The sequence below is a fragment of the Homo sapiens genome, chromosome 1 (genome assembly GCF_000001405.40).
Source record: "Homo sapiens chromosome 1, GRCh38.p14 Primary Assembly".
NCBI classification, from domain to species: Eukaryota; Metazoa; Chordata; class Mammalia; order Primates; family Hominidae; genus Homo; species Homo sapiens.
Genome location: NC_000001.11, coordinates 68636876 through 68663090, shown reverse-complemented (window position 1 = coordinate 68663090; position 26215 = coordinate 68636876). Strand labels below are relative to the sequence as shown.

The window sequence follows — 26215 nt, the reverse complement described above, 5'->3', positions numbered from 1 at the left end:
ATGTAGAAGGTTGGACTAGTAACCCTCAATGAAACAAAAATTCCCAGAAGAGAGACATGATCAGATGATAAGATAAAAGATCACAGTTAAAAATTCAGGAAAGTTTCTCTTCAGTTTTAGTTTTTGGATAGAGAGGAGAAAAATCTCCCCTATAATTCCTAACCAGCAATAATTGAATTTTTTAACTTGAACTCATACAACTTGTGGGGTGCCTCTTCCCTCAAAAGGTTAAAAGTATAATTTTAAAGTCACCCTCATTGGTCATACAGCTACAACCAAGTGAAAGGAAATGCAAATCCCCTATGACATAATGCACTTTATAAATAGGTCAAGGAATTCCCACAGGTGAAATTCCCAGGAAATTTTCTAATGGTGAATGAAAATCAAAAACACCAAGGAAATAAATAATTATGAAAAGGATTCTGCATAAACTGAATAATAAATTATATAATAAACTGAAGAATCAAAGTCACAAAATCTAAAAATAACTGAATTATCAAATACAATATATAGAATATGTTTCAAGAGGTAAAAGAAACTAAAGTATCACAAAAGAAATAAGAGACTATCAAACATGACCCAAACAAACTTGAAAAAGGACTAAATAGAAACCCTGGAAATAACGAATTATGTTAATTGAAATTTACAAAACAATAGACAAGTTAACCAGCTAAAGATAGAAATCATAAATTAAATAATAGATCATGAAAAATAAAGATTTCAACACAGAAAGGGGGCAAGATGATATATATGAAAGAGACATTAAGATACATGGAGGAAAAATGAGAATATCCAATATATCTAATCAGAGTTCTAGAAAGAAAAGACTAGAAAGGATGAGGCAAGAGCCATATTAGAAAGAGATATTGGTTGAGTCTTTTGCCTCTGCCTATAATGAAAACGCATCTATCAGACCAATCCTGCTCAGAAGAACTATAGTATCAGATATATTAGTCCATTCTCACACTGCCATAAGGAACTACCTGAGACTGGTAATTTATGAAGAAAAGAGGTTTAATTCACTCACTGTTCTGCAGGCTTAACAGGAAGCATGACTGGGAGGCCTCAGGAAACTTACAATCATGATGAAAGATGAAGGGGAAGCAAGCACATCTTACCATGGTGGAGCAGAAGAGAGAGCGAGAGCAAAGGCGGAAGTGCCGCACACTTTCAAACAACCAGATCCTCTGAGAACTCACTCACTTTCAGAACAGTAAGGTGGAAGTCTGCTCCCATGATTCAATCATCTCCCACCAGGCCCTTCCTTTCACATGTGGGGATTACAATTTGAGATGAGATTTGCGTGGGGACACAGAGCCAAACCATGTCATCTGATAAATAAAACAAAAAGCTGTTTAAAACCATCAGCAAGCAACCAAGGCAGCTAGGACATTAAGTGCCAAGGTCCTAGAAAGAAGAAAATTCTTGTTAAAGGTGAGCTTGACATATTTAAGCTGATTTTTCCTCTCAGGACATTTGCTGACTTGTAAATATCTACAGGTTAAGAATAGGCTGTGGCTCGGCCGGGCGCTGTGGCTCATACCCGTAATCCCAGCATGTTGGGAGGCCGAGGCGGGTGGATCACGAGGTCAGGAGATCAAGACCATCCTGGCTAACACGGTGAAACCCGGTCTCTACTAAAAAATACAAAAAATTAGCCGGGCGTAGTGGCGGGCGCCTATAGTCCCAGCCACTCTGGAGGCTGAGGCAGGAGAATGGCGTGAACCCAGAGGCGGAGCTTGCAGTGAGCCCAGATCACGCCACTGCACTCCAGCCTGGGCGACAGAGTGAGACTCCGTCTCAAAAAAAAAAAAAAAAAAAATGAATAGGCTGTGGCTCAAATCAGAAAAAATGAAGTAGCTGGGCTAGATTTACACTTCCTATTAAAACTAACAGACAAAATACAAGAAAAAATGGCTTTCAAAACATTAAATATTGGAAGGTAAAGAACAGTAACCCCTGAGATACGTGAAACAAATGAAGTGACATCTACAATTACCCCCAGTTTACTGCATTGGGAGAATTTCCAGGCTGTAGCCAACGAAGGGATAATCCCAGCAGAGTTTATAAACTGTTACCAATTTGATAGTAGAGAAACATTATTTTAATTTTGATTTTTTTATCATAAGTGAAATTAAATATCTTTTTTATATTTAAGAACCATTTTAATATATTCTTCATTAATTGTCTGTTCATGTCTTCTGCCAGGTTTCTATAAGGTCTTTTTGTTCTCAGTTTTTAAGGGTCCTTTATAAATTAGGAATCACTTTCTTTTATAATACTTGAGATATATATTATTAACACATTATTTTATTTTGTCATTTAACTTTGATTTGTCATACAACCCTTTTTTATTTGTATATAGTTAAATGTAGTCATTGTTTTTCCTGAATCTGAATTTTGAGGCATAGTTAGAAAGTCTTTGCCTACACCAAGGTTATGCAGGAATTTATTCCCATTTTCTTATAGTACTTACATGCTTTTATTATTTTACATTACATCCCTTATCCATATCCCTTATCCACATAAGCATAAGTTAATGCTTATGTAAACTGAATATAAAGTTTTCATTTTACTAGTTTTTTTCTCAATGTCTATTGTCTATGCAATAGTCCCAGAAGCATTTATTTAAAAGTCCATCTTTGTCAAGTAATTTGAGATCTCACCTTCATCATAAACCAAATATCCATGTGACTTCTGTGTCTTTCTGTACTTCCCATTCCATTTCCCTGACATGTCTATTCATTTAGGTACCAGTTTCACATTGTTTTAACAAGGGGGTTACAGCATATTTTAATATTTGGCAGGGCTCTTGTAGTTTTTCTTTTTCAGTGTTTTTCAGCTATTCTTGCAATATTTATTTTTCAATAGTAGCTTTCGTATCAATTTTCCTAACTTCATAAAAATTTGCTATTTTTATTGAGATTGCTTTAAATCTATAAATTAATTTCGAGGGAACTGACATCTGCATTATAGTAACAGATTCTGTTTGAAAATAAAAACCGTCTTTCCAGCTGAGGCAGGAGGATCGTCTGAGCCCAGGAGTTCAAGACTAGCCTAGACAACACAGTGAGACCCTATCTCTACAAAAAATATATATATAGAAAATTAGCCGGGCGTGGTGGTATGCACCTGTAGTCCCAGCTACTCAAGAGGCTGAAGTGGATGGATCACCTGAGGCCAGGAGTTCCAGACCAGTCTGGGCAACATAACAAGCCCTATTACTATTAAACAAATAAACAAATAATCAACAACAACAACAACAACCAATCTTTCCATTTGTTTAAGTCTACTTTTGTATCTTTTAAGATGTTATAAAGATTTTCTCATATAGGTTTGGCATACTCCTTGTTAAGTTCATCCCCATTACTCCATCTCCTTTGCTACTATTGTAAATAGAGCCTCTCTATTATTATGTCCCCTACCTGCTTATTGTTTGTAAAGCAAGGTCATTGATTTCTACAGGTTAATCCTATACCTGCTATCTTACTGAATTATTTTATTAAGTTTGCTCATTGAGTCTCTAGCATTTCACAGGTATACTATTATATCATCTGCAAATAGAGACACTGTTAATTCTTATCCAATTATTACAACTCTAATAGGTTTCACTTCTCTAATTTCATTTGATAATACCTTCAGTATAATGTTAAATATTATTGAATGTAATTAGCATCTTTGCCTTGATGACCTTGAGGTGAATATGCCTCTAGATACATATATATCTATATCGCTATATATATCTATATAAATATAAATATATAAATATATATCTATATATTTATATTTATATATAAATATATAAATATGTATAAATACAAATATATAATATATATATTTGTTTTAAGAAAGTATTCATCAGTTTTGTTTTTCTCCTTAGATCTGTTAATATGATATATTGCACTGATAGATACTCAAATATTAACCAAACATGCATTCCTGGAATTAACCCTACTGGGTCATAATGTATTTTATTTTCTTATTGTGGTATTGGATTCTGATGGCTAATATTTTATTTAGCATTTTTGCATTGATGTTTATACATTACATTGATCAGTAATTTTATTTTTTCTACTGTCTTCACCATATTTAGGTATTAATGTTACATTTGATTCATAAAAAGAATTTGAACATTTTCCTTGATTTCTTATGCTCTGAAACAATCTATGTAGTATTAGGACTATCTGGACTTTAAATATTTTGTAAACTTCCCTTGTGAGGTTGTTTCTTGATAACAAAGTTGTTTCTTGTTATGTTTTATATGAAAATTGGTTTATTTAAACTTTCTATTTCTAATAGGTTCAATAAATTAATACAGGGTATTTCTCTAGGAAGTCATTTATTTCATCTACGTCTTCAAATATAGTTGCATAAATGTCAACAGCATAGTCTTTTGATTATTTTAAAATTTCTTCAGTTCCTATGACTACTTACTTCATCCTTGTCATTGTCTTGTATTGCATATTTGGGACTTCTCCCATTTTGGGAAATTGAATAAGTTAACTAGCTTATTTTGTTAATTTTTCCTAAAAAATCAAGATTTGATTTATTAATTAGATAAACTGACTTTCATATTTCTACATTGTTAATTTGTGCTTTTATCTTTATTATTTTCTGTCTTAACGTTTCATTTATTATTCTGTGTATAACTTCGTGAGTTGGGAACTTAATAGGTTTATTTTCATCCTTTAATCTTAGTAAGTATTCAAACCTATAATATTTTTCTAAGTGTTGTTGATAGAAGTAATTTTCAATATTTAGGTGAAAGGGTATTTTTATTTTGTGATTGAATTTTAGCTTATTCATTGTGACCAGTGAGTGTTGTTATATTTACAAAACTTTCTGATACTCTCTTTGTGACTTCAAATGCAGAATTGATTTTGTAAATGTCCAATGTGCACTTGAAAAGAAATTGGATTCTCTGATATCAGTATCAGTATCAGTAGATATATTTCCTTAAGATTTAACTTATTTATACTTTGTTTAGGTCATATGTATCTTACTTATATTTTTGTTTCTTGATCTGCCTGGTACTTAGGTTTGGTGTCTTAAAGTTTGCCTTTATTAGTTTTTTTCTAGCTGTGTCTAATTACACTCTTGTTTTAAAAAGGTAGATTCTGTGTGATTTTGTGCGTAAATATCCATAACAGTTATATCTTCATTATGATTTATGGTTATCAGAATTTATAACTACCCTTAATTTTAATGTTTAATACTTTTCTTCTCTTGAATTTTACTTTATTGACATCAATATTGCAATCTGCTGGGCCTTTTTTTATTGCTTCCATTTGTCTGGAAATCTTTGCTCCTTCCTTTATAACATGCTTTATAAATAATTTTATTTTAGGTTTCTCTCTTTTATGAAGCATATAGTTGGGTCTGCTTTATGAGTCAAATTTAAAATCACTTGATATCTGGTTAAACCTATTTACATTTATTGATATGAGTGATCATTTAGTGTTACAAATATTATGTGTACTATGTTTAGTTTCCATGATTTTTATATGTATCATGTGTTTCTCTTATTTTTGTTTATTTCTTTTAGAATTTAGAAATATTTATATTTTATACTTACACAATTGTTAAATATTTGTGGAATTCTATTTCTTATTTAATCTTTACTCTCTGGTTTGTTAGTTTGTTTTAGCGGTACTCTTTGATTTCCATTAAACTGCTTATATACTTATCAATGAGCTTCTTGATTGTATATATTGCTTATATTATAATCAATGAGCTTATTCTACTTATTCCTTGCCTCTTTCTTTTCTTCTATTAGCTACATTATTTTTCCTTTCTAAAAGCATATAATATTTACATATGACATATTGACATATTTACTTCAACCTCATCCTCACCTTTCTTAATCTTACTTATATTTAAAACTAAGTCATTTCTTTTGCTGGAATTTTCTTTTATTTGTTTTTTGGTTGGATGAAGTTTATTCTCTCAAAGTTTGCCCAAAGGAAAATCAAGAATACAATATGCCTCAAGTTATTACATGTTTAAAACTATTTTTATATAGCTTAAGAGACAACTTAAATGGATATAAAATCTTTGGCTCATACTTTCTTTTTTTGATTTTCCTTGAAAATGATATTCCTTTGATACTTTGATTTATATTTTGCTTTTCCTGAGGCCATGAGTATTTTTCTTTACGTTTATAACTAATTGTTTTACTAAAATATGTATCAGGGTTAATAATTTGGGGACAATTCTACCAAGTACCTGGTAGTTTGTTTTTTTTTTTGTTTGTTTTTTTTTTTTTGAGATGGAGTTTCACTCTTGTTGCCCAGGCTGGAGTGCAATGGTGCCATCTCAGCTCACTGGAACCTCCGCCTCCTGGGTTTAAGAGATTCTCCTGCCTCACTCTCCCAAGTAGCTGGGAATACAGGCACCTGCCACCACACCCAGCTAATTTTTGTGTTTTTAGTAGAGACGGGTTTCACCATGTTGGCCAGGCTGGTCTCGAACTCCTGACCTCAAATGATCTGCCCATCTTGGCCTCACAAAGTGCTGGCATTACAGGCATGAGCCACCACGCCCAGCCAGTTCCTTTTAATACATAGACATGGATCTCATTTTACTTCAGAAAACGTTTCTTGTATTAGAGTTGTAAATATTATTTATTTTTCAGTGTTGAATTTTCCATCTTCAGGGATTCCAGTTACAATTATGTTGATTCATCCTTGCCTGTGTTAATTTAAAAACTTTATCTCTGACCCTTTTTACTTTTTCATTATCATTTTCTGAATTTCTTTAGAATATCTTAGTTTTTATTTGCATCTATTCTATTCTTGATTTGCAAGATTGATCTTGTAAATCAGTCTTTACTTCTGATATGATTTAACCTCTTTTTATTTTTTCCTGAATTCAATCCATTCTCAATTCATTTCTTTTTGTTGTTTGTGTTCATTTTTTGTACATAGATTTTGAATATCTGATACAAGATCTTTCTTTATGTGTTTGTTTAAGGATGTATGCTTCAGTATGGAACTATGCATTACAATTTTCTTCTCCCTTCTGGTTGATCCAGAGTGGAGGAATGGCATTTTCTTCACCTGAAAAACTTATATTTAAATGTTGTATTTGCTTTTTCTTATGCTGTTGCTATGGTTTGAATGTTTGTCTCCTCCAAAACTCATGTTGAAATTTAATCCCCAATGTGGCAGTATGTAGAAGTGGAAACTTTAAGAGGAAATTGAGTCATGAGGGTCCTCATGAACGAGTTAATGCATTAATGGGTTATCACAGGAGTGGGAACAGAGGCTTTATAAGAAGAGGAAGAGAGAATTGAGTGAGCACACCCAGCCCCCTCACCATGTGATGTCCTGTGTCGCCTAAGGACTCTATAGAGTTTCCACTGGCAAGAAGGCCCTTACCAGATGTGGCTACTAAACCATGAGCATCTCCCCCTCCATAACTGTAAGAAATAAATTCCTTTAAAAAAAAAAATACCCAGTGTCAGGTATTCTGCTATGAACAACAGAAACTAAGACAACTGCATATGTGAGACTGGTTGTACTTCTGAATTTCTGTGAGCAGGCTGACAGTTGGGTAGTTTTTAAAATGCCTAGTTTAAGACCACTTTTCTGTCAGTGTTACAACATGTAGTTTCTTTAATAGATGGCTGTTTCAGCAGAGAAGAAGGAATGGAGTGTTATGGCCTCCAATTATTTGAATTTTTATTTTTTCTTGTAGGATCATCCATTTATCACTTGTTCTTTTTCTCTTTAGGATGCAGTTTTCAGAGGAAGACTTTTCTCTCCTTTTTACTCTCCTCTTCTCTACGTGTTGCCTTTCTAAGATTGCCTCCTAGAGGCCTCCCTCATCTTCAAGTAACTTATAGTCAGTGCTCAAATTTACTAGAACCTTTTTTCAGCATCTCCTCTCATAAATTGAATTCTTCTTTCTACGGTTAATTTTAGTTCAATTATAGGTATTTTATTTCCCTCTTCTTTCTTCAACAGTTTTTCTCAACCCACCTTGCAAAGGCTTATATTGGATATGTAAAAAGTACCTCCAGTAAAAATTAATATTTACTTTTTCTACTTAATACAATTTTGAAGTTTCTAAGAGGATATATAAATAGTCAAGTTAACATCATGCACCTAAATTTGAAGGTCTTCTAACACATCTTCCAAAAATAAACATCAAGTAAAGCAGAGGTTAGTAAATTGTTTTTCAGTAAAGCAATAAATAATTGAGGATTTTGGGCCATAGCGTCTCTGTCACAACTAATGAACTCTGTAATTTCTCTGACTTACAATTGTATGCAATGTATGAGATTTATGTGGTTACATTTGTTTTCCTGCTTTAGAGTTCAGCGCACTATTGTTCCCAAGCCAAATCTGGCACATTATCTGCCTCAAATAAAGTTTTATTGGAACAGAGACATGCTAATTTGTTTATTAATTATTATGGCTGCTTTCACACTACAACAGCAGAGTTTATTAGTTGTGACAGAGACGCTATGGCCCAAAATCCTCAATTATTAATCCCTTTACAGAAAAACAATTTACTAACCTCTGCTTTACTTGATGTTTATTTTTGGAAGATGTGTTAGAAGACCTTCAAATTTAGGTGCATGATGTTAACTTGACTATTTATATATCCTCTTAGAGAAGTTAATTTTAAGAATTTAACTTTATTAAAATATAAGCCCTTAAGAATTTTACAATAGATATGCTAAAACAAAGCAATACTAGATTTTTCTGACAGTGGATGATATAAGTAATATTTCTAAATACCTGCTGTGAGATAGGCAGTTGGAACTTTGAAGGTATTACAATATTTCATACAAAAACTCAAGTAAATATTCATTATTTTTTCTCTTTCCACAGATGAGGACAGTGGTGCCCAGAAAGTTTGCTTACTTTGTTCAAGAACTTTTTATTGATAAATAGAAGAATTGATATTCCAGCTTAGGACTCTCCAGTTTCAAATTATGTATTCTACCAGTCCTCGTCTGCTAATTCATGAATGTGAATTAGGCAGATTACGCAACTGGTTCAGGTAAGTCTTAAGAATGCTAGATGCCCTTTAAGAATGTTACACTTTTTTCTTCTGTTTGAACTTTTATTATCCCTGATTAATTTGAATGATTTAATTCCACACTACATACTCTAAACCACTTTTTTTATTCCTGTGCCTAACTTTCATGAAGGATAACTGTGTCTACATGAATGAATACCAAGCCAAGTATTCTCAAAAAATACAATATAGTATCAAACGCATCAGGAAAATCATATTAATACCTTGGGGACCAACCCATCCTTCTAACCAGAGAACTATCAAATTTAGCTTCTGCTTTGGTCTAAGTGTAAGACTCTGAAAGCCAGAATAATTAAAGATTTGAAGTTTTCTTTTTGTGTCCCGCATCACAAAGCCTCACAAATCAATGAGAGTAAAAATGGTACATACATGAAAACACACATATGCACACACACATACACACACACACACACACATTACTGACTTGTAGAGCAAAGCATGGTTGCCCCCTGTTCAGAGCTTCTAGAATTGAGAAAGTAGAATGCTTAGACTGTGCTTCCACAAGAAAGTAATCTGAAGCAAAATGTACATGCAGAGTGCCCTGAGGAGCTCTCTGGCATTCTTTATAATATTCACTTTCCATGTAAAAACTGTCAGCCCTTCACTTCACCTCAACTTAAGGAGGTGCTCCCCGAGGCTGTGCCTTTCATTATAACCAATAAACCACTGAGTCCATTCTTACTGCACAAAACAATTTCATATAGCAGAGAATTTGACATAGAAGAAAATCTAGTTTTTACACCAGTTGACTACTACACGTGCAAGGACTCTCTCTAAGCAGACAGGGTTCCTCTGGCTAAGAACTCCTATTTTTAAATGATGTTTTAGGAATTCAGAGGGTGTGCATAATATCCTGCTTCCTTTCTTCTTCCAAAATTATTTTTTCTACAGTAGTCATTGCACAGATACTGTTTTCAGAAACTGCTACTCAGGATATGTTTTCGTTGAAGTGGAAAGGTTAAAGAGACCTTGCAGACCTGCAGTTTTAGGATGGCAACTTATTCCTATAAATAAAGGATGTGACAACAAACTGAATATTTTCCATTTTTGAAAATTATTTTTGGTTCTGGAGTTCACAGGTGACTCAAACCCTCCAAAAAACTCGAAAGAAGTAGATAGTCCTTGTCCCTTCTCATAAGAAAGTCCCCAGTTGAAAAGTAAGTACTTTGGAAGCTGATGAAAAACACTCGAGCCTCTATTACTAAGTGAAAACAAAAAATCTTAACACAAAATACTAAGCTGTCAGGTCTATAAGAAATGTAGCTCTCATAAGGGTATAACTTTCAATTAGAGGGTGGTTTATGCAATCTGAGACTATGCTCGACTAAGAATGCTAAGTGGGAAATATTGATCAGAAGGATAATCTATGGGAGAAGATGAGAGGAAGGCATCAAGTTAGCTGGTAGAATTAGAAGGAGTTATGTAGTAAATTCAGACGGAGACATTCAGTTTAGACAAACTTTAGGGAAGATAGAGTCAAATAAGGAGAGAAATCCGGCTGTACTTTTTAGTGGGTTGCGTTTTTTTTTAAACTACGGGAGTGATGGTAGCTGTGCATATAATGAATTTCCTACTAGATAGATATAAACATATTGATCAAAGCTGCACTGAACATATTCCTTTTTCAGATATTTGTGAAAGGGGAACCTCACCTAACGATAATGGGAATAAAATTTTTAAAAATGCATGCAATTAAAATAAGTAAAAAGTGAGACAACCTCACAAGGACAAGTAGGTTCCAACCATGAGAAGATTTGGGAAAGAGTTTGTATCCCTGACAAAGGAATAGGCCATTTAAAAAACTGACTTATGTATGAAAAAAAGATTAATTTTAGCTTGTGTGTTTGAAGAAGCTTCCAGCTTCTGCTGACATTTTGTTTCTCCTGCTACTAGTCAGAAGTAGGGTTAATAATTCATATATAATATATCCATGTTGTCCCATCTAATCTATTTCTACTTTGCTGCTTGGAAAGGATCCCTAGAAATGAGAAATCCAGGGTGGAGAAAAGACAGACATACATGTTACTGTTGCTTTGAATAAAGTTCAAGGCAATATCTGTAGCCTGCTGCTAGGATTGCTTGCCTGGACTTACATTCATCCAGATTTGGGCCAAGACAGGAGGCAGAGAACAGAGTCAACAAAATGTTAGCAAAATATCGCACATAGGTTCACAGGAGAGTCTATTATTTTTTACAAGTCAGACACCACTGCAAGTCCTGATTCTGCTATTTTTTAATAGGCATCTTTGTCAAATTACACTGTATCTCTAAGCCTCAGTTTACTCATCTTTATAATGATGGTAATAATTATACTCATCTTCCAAGTGGTTGTACGCATAAAAAAATAACGTAGTTAAGGTTTCTATAACTCTATACAAATTTTTGTTGTTATCATTACAAACTTTAGCATGTACTGCATATAGCCCTCATTTTGTACTTGAGCATATGTTTTTAATTCCATAAATTCAGGAACCATATCTTACTCTTCCTTGTCAATGCATACAGTTCCTATGACACTTCTGAGGAAATAATAGAGAAAAAGAGAAGTTGAGGAAGTTTTTGATTGATATCTTCAATTTTTGTTCAAAAGAAAGATATGCTATCTAGTAAGACTAGGAACAAGAGAAGTAAGGAGAGAGATGCATACTTGCAACAATCAGTGAGTCAATAGGAGAAGGAGTGAACCAAAGACAAGTCAAAGCATTGAAAGTGGTACTAAGGGCTCAGCTTGGGTTAGAGAGCATAAATTTACATGTAAATCAGCCCGGGAATTGAAGGTGAGAAAGGAAAAGGCAGATCATTGAAGAAGCACTGCCTGAAGAAGATGTGTAAGTAGATGGCCCTGAAAGAATCTCCAAGTGTCCCACATGTTAGTCTGGTTTGGGCAAAAGCATGTGAGATTTACTTTTCTTCTCATGAAAGTGACAAAGAGAGCAGGGTGACTGGAAGAGTCTCAAGAATATAATGAAGAATCAGGTTAGCATCAGTGACTGTTGAAAGACAATGGACATAAGCAATAGATATGTTACAGAGGCCATTGCCTAACAAACAGGCTAAGTGACCAGTAACCCAATGGATACTATCAATGAACAAAAGATAGCCACAGACAAGACCACCCTTAGAATTAAGACCTCAATTGTGTATCTGTATGTAAATTCTTATCTCATAGAATGGCTGAGTTTATATGGAAGTAATTAGTTTAAGTTACTTTCCATTGGGCAGATTCTAGGCAGCAAATGAGCTTATTTATTAAAAGGAAAAAACTTACATGTTTGCTAAGTGAAGTGACTATGAAATTTGTTTTCACTTTACAAACATTAGTTTTAAAGTGAGATAGGCTAGATTGAAATCTCAGCTCCATTACATTGTAGCTGTGTGACCTTAAGCATATAATGTAATACCCCTAATCCTGAATGTTGCCATGTGTAGAAAAATAACTTGTAAGCTACTTAGTGAAAAAAAAAAAATGAGACTCTGGGGGCCCCAACTAGGGGAGCCAGGTAAATAAGGGAGCTAGCTCAGTTGCTCTGCTACAGGAAAAAAATGAGAATTCAGAAAGTAGAACAAAAGAATAAAGACAGAAAATGCAAATAAACATCATGGCAGGAGGTGGGGGTCTCACTTTGAGACTTTTAGGATTGGGAAGAACTAACACTGAGTTTTAAATTGTGTTACCATAATGAAAATACTTCTATATTCTTAACACCTTCAGTAAAGTCTCATATACACACAAATGCCTTTGTGTGAATAGTTTGTGTGATACTAAGTTCATTAATTCAGCAAACACAAGATAGAAAAATGCAAGACAAATAGAATGACACAAATAATCCTTAAAATCAACTAATTCAGTGGAAGTAGTTGGAAGCCACAGAGAAGTATAAGAATGTAAGTTTCTAGCAATAGGCAAAGATTCTAGAGAGGTTTATATTTATGCAACATATAAAATAATGGGTTTATGAAATCATTTCTATAGAAATAACCCCCATCTCCAATCTCTTAGTCTTCTGTATTCTTCTTTGTGGTAAGAGTACACTCTTTGCATTTTTTATTTGTGTGTTGTCTATTCCTCGCAAAAAAATGTAAGTGCCATGAAAATAGTTTTTCTTAATCACTATTGCATCCTTGTAGATTACAACAGTGCCTAGAAAGTAAGTATTGAATGACTGAAAGGATGATTACATATGTAGATCTTAAGTTGTAAGAAGAAGTTGGCTAACCTCTAAATTACACATATAAATAATTATAAAACAAAAAGCCCACCAATACTGGCTGATAACATGGGAGAACATGAGTTAGAGGACTGTGAAAGGGAAAGAAGGATGGAAGAGGAGATGTACCATAGAAAAGTACCAACAGGAAGATAGGATTGTGGGTTGGCAGTAGGGTAGATGGTTCTTCCATGGGGAATAAAACTCTTTTAGGGTAGTTCTATCAGTCAGCTATTATCACCATAACATTGCACACCAATTCACCTCAAAACACAGTTGCAAGCAACAATAAGCAGGTGAGCTGATGTTCAACTGATCTAGACTGCACAGCTGAACTGAACTCCAGGCAATAGGTTCATTTCAGGAATGCTCAAAGTATTTCCCATTTTTCTGGGACCAGTAGGTCATCTGATTTATATTTTTTGCTTTTCTTAATTTTATTTTTTATTTTGTTTTTTTTTCTTTTTTTGATCCATTTTTTTTAAAGGAGAAGATAAAAGCTCAAAAAGTTTATGAGAATCATGAACTGGTCTTCCAGCCTACACTTAGCATCAGCACACTGTCTTTTCTGTCAACACTCCATTGGCCAAAGCAAATCACCTGCCCAGGCTCGATATCAGTGAGGCAAGAAAGTTGAGGTTATGGAGGTTAAGGGAAAGCAGAGGAAGTGTAGTGAATATTTGCTGCATGATAATTTAAGCTTCCATAGGACGCTGGCTGATAATCACAAATCCAAAAATCTTGTTTTTTATTATTAAGTTCTAGGGTACATGTGCACAACATGCAGGTTTGTTACATATGTATACATGTGCCATGTTGGTGTGCTGCACCCATTAACTCTACATTTACATTAGGTATATCTCCTAATGCTATCCCTCCCCCCTTCCCCACCCCACGACAGGCCCTGGTGTGTGATGTTCCCCATCCTGTGTCCAAGTGTTCTCATTGTTCCAAAATCTTAATTGGCAAATCTCAGACTTGACAAAGGTTTATTTCTTACATTACTGTTCATTGTAGATCAGTGATGAGGAACATTTCTCCATAGTCATTCAGTGACCCAGGGTTTTCCGTCTAATAACTGTTCCATTCTCTTTACTCCATCCTTCAAAAATGTACCATCCAGTAGAATCGCCATTATCCATATATGACCCTTTAGCGCTTGAAATGTACATGTAGTCTGGATTGAAATGTGCTTAAAGATAGACATTGAATTTTGAAGACTTGGTATTAAAAAACAGAATATGAGCTATCTTTTAAACAATTTTTATATTGGTTACATTTTGAAATAATATATTGTATTAAATAAGTATATTATTGAAATTAATTTCATCTGCTTGTTTTTACTGTATTTATTTACATTTATTTATTTATTTATGTATTTATGTATTTATGTATTTATTTATTATTTTTGAGACAGAGTCTCCTTCTGTCTCCCAGCCTGGAGAGCAATGGTGTGATCTTGGCTTGCTGCAACCTCCGCCTCCTGGGTTCAAACAATTCTCCTGCCTTAGCCTCCCAAGTAGCTGGGATTACAGGCGCTCGCCACCACTCCCTGCTAATTTTTTGTATTTTTAGTAGAGATAGGTTTTCACCATGTTGGCCAGGCTGGTCTCGAACTCCTGACCTCAGGTGGTCCAACCACCTCGGCCTCCCAAAGTGCCGGAATTACAGGCATGAGCCACCGCACCTGGCCCTTTTCACTGTTTTTAATATGACCACTGGAATATTTTAAATTATATATGTGTTTGCTTTATATTTTTTATCAGATAGCACTGCTCTAGAGCCAGCCACTATACCAGAAAAATGAAAATAATGCTGAAGGGACTTTAACAAAGATTTTGGGGACCAACTGGGAGAGGGCATTCATCATTCTGCTAGTATTCCACTGGCCAGAACTATCTAGGTGCAAGGGGACAAAGAATGTACTGGATCCAGGAAGAAGAGTAGAATACAAATACTCATGATCATTTTAATTCCTCATTTGCTATCTTGCCTTCAGCATCTGAAAGTGAATTTCTTTCTATAAATACAGAAAAATAAATAAAGCTTTGGATATGGGCCAAGATGTTGCATCACAAAAGAGGAATGAAATAGAGCGGAAAGCATAATGGAAGATCCATTATAATTGGGGAAAAATTGTTAAAGAAAAAACAATGAAGGCACCCATCTAAGTGGTAAATGACCCAGACTCACAGGGTAACACAGACATTAAAGACTCAGATCTCTGGCTGTGAGATTACTATTCTTCTCCCACTTAGGTTTTTTGGTGGGTTTTTTTTCCAATCCCAGTGGTTAATTTGATAGACAATGAGAACAGGGATATTGCAAAACATTTGCTATTTATATGTAACCTCCAGATTCCATTTTTTATTACATAAATACATAAAATATACTGTATTTTGTTTTGTATCTCTTAAATTTTCCCAAATAAGCTTGTATTAAGAATGCTGGTGAGATTAGGCTGTGGCCTACATCAGTTCTCTGCAGCATCAGGGTTTTAGGAGCAGGTAGTAAGGGAGCAAACACAATAATCTTAAGTTTGCGATTTCGTGGACTCACGGGAAGAGAATGCCTATCATTAGTGTTTATATAACTACCCAGAGACATGATTTTCACATCCTAAAATACCTCTGCTCTATATTTTTCTTCTTAATATAATTTTTGTGAAGTTTTCAAATCTTCTAAGAAACATAATTCTACAGTATCTATTTCAGCAGAGTATACCACAAAGAAACCCTGTTCTTGGTGAATCTGCAAGTTTGTCTTCACCTGTTCTGTGCTGTTGTCTTGCTGTGTTGTGTTAACATTACTCTCAAACCATTTTTTAATGACTGGAGATGGCCATCAGCAAACTAATGATTACTCCTCCACCAATCTCCTCTCATCTATTCTTTGAGAAACAGACAGCAGCTTTTTTTGTTTTTGTTTTTGCAGCTATCTCAATACAAAATTAACATTGCTTGTGAATCATAACCTTAATTTCTTTGTATTCATCTGACTGGTCCATTCAAAAACACATTTTCTTTAGTGTGTAGTATTAGCATATTATTCTAATCCCTGCGCCTTTCCTATATGGTATGAGGAGCATGTTTTAAGAGTTACCCTGGTCTCTAACTCTCTACTTCCCTTTCTTGGATAAAAGAACAATTCCATTTGGCTGGCAAGACCTAACCCTTTTTCTTCTGGCAGGAGAAATAGATAGATAGATAGATAATGATGATAGATAAATAGATACCCTTATTACTTTGTGATAGTTCCACAAACATAAAGCATATTTCATAAGTCAGAACAATTTTTCCAGAAGACTCTATATTAAGTTTAATACATTAATTCCTTTAACAAATATTTAAGTGATGATAATGTGCCAAACACTTAGGCACTGGGGATATGGCAGTGAACAATAAAAAAGTTTCCTTGCCTTTATGGAGCTAACAGTCTATCAGAGAAAATTAGAAAATTAAACAAATAGTTGGATCAGGTGTTACAACAGAGCTAAGACAGGTTGTTTTCCAAGGAAGAAACATATAACTAAAAGATTAAAGAATGAGGAGATGGTATGTTAAGAGACAGAGAACAATGTCCTAGTCAGAAGTGCAGCATGTGTGAAGGCCCAAGAATAAGAGAGAACATCTCAGGTTGAAGGAACTACGTGAAACATATTTGAACAGAAGGGTGGTCCACAAGGGAGGAGCAATGAGACAGGAGTGCACAGTGGTGACCCAGAGGAAGGAGAGGTAAACTCTGCCTAGGGACAGAAGACAAGCCATGATAGCTTCATGGGAATTAAGTTTGATGTGCAACTTGACCAAGATAGAAGCAGATTTGCAGGTAAAGGAAACAGTAGTAAGAGGAAAGGCTCATGGATATGAATGACGAGTAACTTTTCCAAGTGTATCTAACTAGTATGCAACAACTCCAGGGCAGCTCCACTACAAAGTCTATGCTCTAACCCCATAAACAGCTTTGGGGCCATTTTAGGGCATCAGTAAAACATGTAGAATCAAACAGCCCTGTATCAAATATTGTTCTCCAAAGAAACAGGACCAAAAGGAGATAGGTAGATATATACAAAGACATTTGTTACAAGGAATTGGCCCATGTGATTATGAAGGCTGAGAAGTCCTGTGTGATCTGCTGTTTGCAAGATGGAGTCTCAGTAAAGCTTTGGTGTGGTTCCAGACCAAGCCAGGGCAGGCAGTCCTGTCAGTTGCTGTTGGAGTTTGAAGGCCCAAAAACCGGGAGCACAGCTGCCCAGGGGCAGGAGAAAATGGAAGCCTTAGCTCAAGCAGAGGGAGCAAATTCCTCCTTCCTCCATGTTTTTGTTCTATTTAGGCCCTCAAAAAATTGGATGATGTCCATCCACCCTGCTGAAGGTAGACCTTCTTTACTCAGTTTACAGATTCAAATGCTAACCTCTTCCAGAAACACCCTCACAAATGTGCCACAAATAATATTTTACCAACTATCTCAGCATCCCTTAGCTCAGTCAAGCTGACTCATAAAATTAACCATCAGAAGCCCTGAAGTAGCTGGTGTGTCTTTCGACCTAATGATAATCTGGCTTTGCTTAGTTCCTTATCATTTGTGATGGACTTTCCCATTTAATTTTCACACTGGCCACTGAGCCTGCTTTTCTTAGGCACATATTACAGATATAAAAACAGAACCACACGTGATTACCCATGGTCACACAACCAGTGAATATTAAGTGAAACCTAGACCCAGATCTTCATATGTTAAAACATTGACTCTTTATATTAAGCAACACTAAACATTAGGTCAACATTAAATAATCCAGCCGATACAAATTCAGGACTAATAGAGCTATGGATCCTATAATACCAAAATAGTTGTAAGTTTGAACACTATCAAAGACTCCTAATTTCTGCCCCTTTGTCTATCAATAAACGAGAAGCAAACAAACAGAATTGTTGCTCACATCAGAAGCATAGAAATTTACTATCTTGTAGAAATCCTTCTGTAAGATAAAGGAAAAGCAGTGCATTTGTAACAGTGCTCTGAAGGTAGTTGAAGAAATAATTTTAAGTTGCATCAGGTATTACCAAGAAGTGAAATAATGATTAGTCATATCTGTAACCTTTACAATAGAGAGCACTGAGGCCAGTTAGCTGTTGTTTATCTGCTGCTTATTTTTAGTATGTTCTAGTCATTTGGCTATGTAGTCAATATTTTTTAGCAAAAACCTAGAGTGAGTCCACTACATGAGGGATAGTGAGGGAATAAAATAATGAGTCATTGTCCTTGCATAAGAATCCTTTATAATTCAGTGGAGAAGAGATAATATCTAAAGTATATAGACAGAAGCAATAATTAGAGCAGATTGATTCCAATTATAGACTCATCAGAGCCAAATGGGGTTAACCTGGAACAATATCACCAGGAAATCAAAGCTTGACTTGGTAACATTTATTCATGCATCTCTCCTTTATAGGTTAATGAAGGCAGGTTTTTAGAGCTAATCTCTGGAATAATAAAAGACTCAGAGTTTCTGTCACTCACTAGCTCTCAGAAGTTGAACCTGTTACTCAGACTTTCTATATATCAGTTTCTTCCTATGTAAAATAAGGTTAATAACAGTACTGACATTATTGGGTGAAGATTAAATGAGATAATGCAAATAAAATGCTTAGCATAATGTCTGGCAAAATATAAGCCATTAATATTCTTTATGTAATATTTATTGGAGATTTAATAGGTACCAGCCACTCACTATATGGCAAGAATACAAAGATGAATCCAAGAACACTGTATTGCTAAATCCTCTGCCAATAATTTTACCAAGGTAATTTTTGAAGCAGAAATAACTTCTATATTCACGTTTCCATGACTTGTAAGCTAGTCATGAGTTCTACCAAATTCCTCAAGTGTTAAGAATAAGAATGATTCAATGTTGAGAGGGCAAGTGAAAGAACAGCCTTAAATTAGACAATTCCAAGGAGGAGAATTAGTCTTACTGTTCTTATTAAAAACATAAAGCAGTCCCTCCTGCCACTCATAAAGAAATCTCTCATAACTGGTGGCTTCTAGTACCTAGAAAATTATGGGTTTAGAGTTTATACTGTTTAAACAAGACTAGTCTTTGTGAAGATGTATTTGAGCATAGAATAGGAAACCACCTATTCACAATAGCAAAGACTTGGAACCAATCCAAATGTCCATCAATGATAGACTGGATTAAGAAAATGTGGCACATATACACCATGGAATACTATGCAGCCATAAAAAAGGATGAGTTCATGTCCTTTGTAGGGACATGGATGAAGCTGGAAACCATCATTCTCAGCAAACTATTGCAAGGACAAAAAAACAAACACCGTATGTTCTCACTCATAGGTGGGAATTGAACAATGAGAACACTTGGACACAGGAAGGGGAACATCACACACTGGGGCCTGTCGTGGGGTGGGAGGGGGAGGGATAGCATTAGGAGATATACCTAATGTAAATGACGAGTTAATGGGTGCAGCACACCAACCTGGCACATGTATACATATGTAACAAACCTGCACCTTGTGCACATGTACCCTAGAACTTAAAGCATAAAAAAAAAGAAATACCTAATGTAAATGATGAGTTAACAGGTGCAGCACACCAACATGGCACATGTATACCTATGTAACAAACCTGCACATTGTGCACATGTACCCTAGAACTTAAACTATAATTAAAAAGAGGGGAGAAAAAAGAATAGGAAACCACCTTGAACTAAAAAGCACAGTTGTCTTAAGTGCTTCTCTGCTACATGGTTCTTCCTTATTGAAGCAAATGGGTATATGCAAAACTAAAAGATAATCCCCTAGTGGAAGAAGAAACAAACCCCAAGTGTGATATATGCTAAGCCTGTTATTTATATATTTTTGCCTATATGGAGAACGTTCTTTGTTTTTGTTTATGTAGCAATATTGGAAAAGCATATGTAACACAAGAAAACTAACATAACCCATAATAGATCTCAGTGCAGATATAAGGAAGTTTAAAACCAGATGTATGTCAATGTAGGAAAACCAAGCTAAGAAATTTTCCAAGACATTTTTCTTATTCATTCTCTCAGATCTACCCTAAAACTACCAATCCAAACCTTTAGCAAAGAGGTCAATATTTTTAACAATACCCCCGGGAATCATTATAAACATACACAGACTAGTACTGGATCACAAGTGTTTATTGGATATGCATAAAAATAATAAATAGATAACCCTTATTACCCCATATTTGCTACAAACACTTTTTCCACTTTTTACAGGTGTTAACTCATTTAATCCTTGTAGCTGTCCTATGAACTGAGTTCTATTATTATCCACATTTTACAGATGTGAGACAGGCACTGAAAGAATGTGACTTGCCAAAGCCCATCAAGTAGACTTTAATTCCTCATGTGGAGGTAATAATGATCACAAACATACCAACAGTGCTTCACTGTTTACAGTGTGATCTTGATTATCATTTTTCTATCTGAACTCTTAAAACACCATTGAAGTTAGTAGCAAAGTTATAAGTATGTTTGTTATGTAAATGAAGTCACTTCAGAAGTCTCGCAACTGAGCTCAAACCAGGCCTTCTGACCGTGTTCTTATTTCTTTCCATTCTGGTTTCAAAAATTCTTTTCAACCCTATTGTTCCAGAATCCTATGAAGTTGCAGAATCCTTTTTTTATATATACATATATATGTGTATGTATATGTATACACAGGCACATACACACACACACATATATATATATATATATCAAGCTCTTTTTGTGGATATATTACATATATTTTAACTCATTTAATTCTCACAATTCCATGGGTAAGTTCTATCTAGATAAGAAAACTAAAGAACTGAGAGATAAATAATTTGTTCAAAACATAGTAGGATTAGGATTCAAACCCAAGTAGCCTGACTCTAGAGACTGTGCTCTTAACCATTACATTATGTGGTCTCACAGAAAAAAAAAATCCTAAATGGTATTTATTAAAAAGAAATAAAAGTGTAAGTTTAAAATAGCACTTATGACTTGAAACACCCCTTGGAAACTAAAGTTAATAAATTGATCAATAAGTATTTATTGAACGTTTTCTTTGGGCAGGCATTATGATAAGCACTGCTGAAAATAGAAATATAATAAAATATTTTTATATTTTATGAAAAAATGTAAGCTATATCCCTCTTCACAAAAGAAGTTCACTCTAGCTATGGAAAATAGATTTATATATATATGTAAGTCATCTTCAACAAAATTTAAACAATCATGTTCATAACATAATAAATGCTATAAAAATTGCTTAGATATGGAATATAAAACCCAACAAAAGGAATTATGTGGAGGGAAGTCCTATTACAACTTAAACCAAAATAAAAATAAAAGTTGGTTCTTAAAGAAATAGCATCCATTTCATATAAAAACATAAAGAGCACAATTTAGCAATAGATTTGCCCTAAATCTCATTAATCCTTTTTTTAAAAGTACATTACTTTGTATTTGAGATCTATATTTGAAGCAACAGAGAAAAAAATAAGAGGTAAAAAGTGTCTGATATCTTTTACATAGACCTAAATTCTTTTAAACATCTGATTGCTGAAGAATTGTCTACAGAATTTAATGAGATGCTTGATTGCTACATAAGACCATTGCTGCATTATTTCTTGATGAGAACAGACTTTATGTCTACAATATTGATGAGAATACAATACAGTACAGAACATCAAAAGACTATGTGCAACCTTAGTCTAGTCCTTCCCTCTGGGTAAAAAGTATAGGCGTATATGCCTGCTCTTCCGGTATACTTCTCTTGATAGAGTTTATAGTAGAGAATCATGATAAGTACAAGGTCCATTAGTAACAAAAATAAAGGCAGGGTGGCAGTTAAACTGAACATCATTAGCAAACATCACACTAATTACTCATTTTGTTATTAGTGTTAACTGTGCTGCCAGTTAATTATATTTGAATAAGAAAATGACAATGCACACAGAAAAATTCAAACCACACTGAAACAAAAAGAATCACACTAGGGCATGGAAATCCACTGTAAAGAAGAAAACTTCTGTGTTAGGAAGCAAATAATCTGCAAGAGTCTTTTGCACCAAAGGAATTTTTTTCATGTAAGAAACATTCAGAAAATGTATACTATTATGCTAGACGCATAGAAATGTGAGAAAAAGAGACATAGTCCTCAATATTTAGGTTCACTTTTATTTAAAAAAAAACACATAAAGAGATAATTGTATTAGACATTGTGTTAAGCATTATAATAAAGATTGGTTCCTCATATGGAAACATGTGAAACTTAAGAGGAAACAACTAATCCTCTGGAGAAATTAGAAAAGGAATAAATGAAGAGATGACTGTGAGTAGCGTATTGAAAATTGAGCAAAAAATAAGCATGTGGAAAGAAAGAAAGCAGGGAAAATGAAACCCTGGAATCACACCAGGCTTTTCTCCTATGAAAAAGAAAGTTTGTTTGCAAGGTAAGTGACCAAAACAGGTGAGATTTCCTCTTTAATAAGAAAACATTTCCTGTGAAGGGCTGATTAATCCTGGCTAACATGCTGAAACAGCTCTGTATTAGCAAAAATCTTGAACCTTTCCCTCAAAGATCTTCAGATTGGTCAAAACTCTAGTCCTTTAGAAAGTAGGAAGGATTAAAATGCTATTGATAAAATTCACAGACGAACTGATAAAATGAAAATAGAATTATAAAGTACAAATTCTTTGCTAGAAATTATCTGCAGCAGGTATATTGAATGCTATTTTTATTGTGATGCAGGTCACAACCCTGCTGTTACTGCAGGGACTTCTGTGTTTGGACTAATCAGAATCTCATTTTTTTGGATAAATGATAGAATCAACAATCTTCAGGATAGTAGTTTTCCTAACAAAAAAAAATGCAAAGGTGTCTCTAAAGCAGAGACCTGCATGTTTAATCAAAATGACTCAGCCTGGGCAACATAGAGAGACCCTGTCTACAAAAAAATAAGAATAAAAATAAATGATCCAGGAGTGGTGGCACGCACCTGTGACTTCAGCTGCTCAAGAGGCTGAGGTGGGAGGATTACTTGAGCCCTCAGAGGTCAAGGCTGCAGTGAGCCGTGATTGCACGACTCCCCTTCAGCCTGGGTGACAAAGCAAGACCCCGTCTCCAGAAAAAAAGAAAAAAAAATGACTCACCCTCTTCAAGAGCAAAGGAGGCTGACAAGTGACCCTACAGGGGAACAAATATTAAGGAAAAGGATCAGACTGTAATTCTCTGAGGACAACCCCTCAGCTCTATGATATGCAAATCCCCTATGGGCACCTGGAATTCAGAGGGCATTCCTCCATCAAATGTATACTAATGAGTCCTGCAAAGATTCTCAAACTCTGGGCATTAGTCCCTTGAGCAAATCTGTCTGGGCAGTTGATGTCACATAGCATATTTATTAAATCAATTTTTAACAGACCAGATGGTGTTATTGTTGACAAAAACAAGTGATCCAGTGATTTAATAGAACATAAGAGATATAGATTTTTTTCTTTTATCTCCCAACTGCCCCTGGAATCCTGCTTTTGAAAATAAGATACACAAGGACAAATAATTTAAGTGATACTTTCTCTGGTTTCACAAACTACTAAAGAAGAGTGGTCTGAGAGACAGATGACAAGGTGACAATCCATTACTAAAAAAATGAAGAAAAACTCCCAGAAAACTATATTTGATGTTTAAAGCTTTAAAAAGCAAATGCCCTTCAGGAATAATTTAGTTGAAGAATGTGGATTGTTTGCTGAATTTCATTCTTCTTATTTTATGACAACAAAACCAGCAGCTTCCCCTTAATTTTGGGATACTGCTCCATTCACATCTCTTACTTTCTTTAATATAGAATAGGGTAAGTCTCTTTTGAACATCTCATCTCTTCCTGTCACCCACCCTTAGATTGATAGCAAGAAAAGCAATGTGCCTTAAAGTGAAATGGTCTCTTGACCTCTTCCAAATCCACCTTCTTGAATAGAATAGAAATCATTAGGTTTTATGTTTGAGTATTGACCTTAATATTTTTGAAAAATGAAAAAACATGCCATTTTTAAAGCAGTCAATAGCTTTTCTATTTCTCTAAACATTAAAGATTCTACTCATCTCTAGGAGAAGACCACATTTTCACTTTAGGATAAGACAATTTAAAACATAGTTTGGCTAGGTAAAAATAAGCAAGGAACCCATATGGCATGAAAAGCTGTGAATTATTAAGGTGCTCAGGCACTTTCCATGGACTGTCATTGGCTAAGTATTCATTGCCAGTGATGTTTCAAATATCTAGAATTTTTTTCTTCTTTAGGATGCTGTTTTTCCTTTCTGAGGGCCTGAATTCAAATAGGAAGTGGCAAGATCTCTTCAAGATATTCCAACTGAGCAGTAGAGCAGTCTTTACAACATGGTAGAAAGCCAGACCCTAAGGAGACAGATGGCCAGTAGAAGACTTCTTATGGAGAGTCTTAGTATATGAGTCTGGGAACCATTATGTATAGTAGATCAGCTAGTTTTAAATTATTTTCTTCATTGTTGCTTCAGTTACTATGGTCACATAACAGATTGCTCTCACACTAATAAACATGTATAATATAAAGCAGCCATTTATTTTGCTCTTAGGTTTTATGGATTAAGAAGTCCAACAGGGTACAACAGAGGTGGCTTTTCTATGCCTTATAACGTCTGCGGTCTCAGATGGAAGACTCAAAGATGAGGAAGTGCAATCATCTAAAGACAGCTACCCTCCTATGTCAGGTAGTTGATGCCTGCTTCTGACTGATGGCCTCTCCTCTCCAAATGGGCCTTTCCATTAAGTCTCTCCAACATAGTGGCTTCAGGGTCATAGGCTTTTTTCACAGCAGCTCATGATTCCAAGGACATATGTCCTGAAACAGATAAAGAATGAAAGAAAGAGTTTGAGATGAGGGGAGTAAAGGATTATACCACCTCCTTTGACCTAACTTCAGAAGTCACAAAGCGTCATTTCCACTGCATCCTACATAACAGAAGCAAGTCAAAAAGAAGGATTCATTCAACAGAAAGAAACATACCGGCCCCCGCCTCTTGATGGAAGAGTGTGTAAACATTACTATAGCAAATACACTTTAAGGTGACTGCACCGAGACACACACTTATGTAATTCATTCTCCTTGAAAGTAGAACCAGAGACTTGCCTCTAAACTGTAAAGTATGGCAAAAACCTTGATTAGATTATGTTATGAGATAAATGTGGTGTTATGCTGCACCGTTAATTGGGCTATGTTTTATGGAATGAATCTTTTTGTTCACTCAAAATTCATATGTTGAAACCCTAACCCCCAATGTGATGGTATTTGAAGGCGGGTCCATTGGGGATGATTAGATCATGAGGTTGGAGACTCATTATGAGATTAGTGTACTTATAAGAACACTGGAAATCTCTATTTCTTTCTCTCTTTGTGTGTCCAAGGAATGATAATACTGCAAAAATGTAGCAGTCTGAAAGCCAGGAAGAGAGCCCTTACCGGAAACCAACCATAGTGCCACCCTGATCTTGGACTTCTGGCCTCCAGAACTGTGAGAAAATAAATTTCTGTCATAAAGTCACTCAATCTATGGTATTTTGTTATGACAGCCTAAGCAGACTTGTATGTTATATAGCAAAGATGATGTGATGTCACTGCCAGGATGATATGCCATATAAGACTCATCTTGATAGACTGGAAAGGAAAGTTCTCCTGGCCTTCAAGAAACAAGTTGCTTTGATGTAAACTGCCTGTAGATAGGTTCATATGTCAAGTAACTAGGTGGCTTTTAGGAACTGACAGGCTCAGGCCTAGAGTTGAAAGTTATAGAGGGAAAAACCTGAGCAAGCTTGGAAGTGACTTCTTTCCATCCAAAACCTCCAAATGAGAATGTAGTCCAGGTAATGCCTTGATTATTACCTGGTGAGATCCTGAAGCAGAAAAC

General features: G+C 35.0%; 1 long non-coding RNA gene across 1 annotated transcript; it reads left to right on the top strand.

Annotated features, from left to right (window-relative positions):
- Positions 1 to 1323: 1323 nt before the first annotated feature.
- On the top strand, positions 1324 to 25915 carry LOC107984967 (uncharacterized). Its single transcript, XR_001738104.3, has 4 exons — positions 1324 to 1434; positions 8841 to 9012; positions 24887 to 25021; positions 25716 to 25915. It is a non-coding gene; the product is annotated as an uncharacterized LOC107984967 (long non-coding RNA).
- The last annotated feature ends 300 nt before the right edge of the window (positions 25916 to 26215 follow it).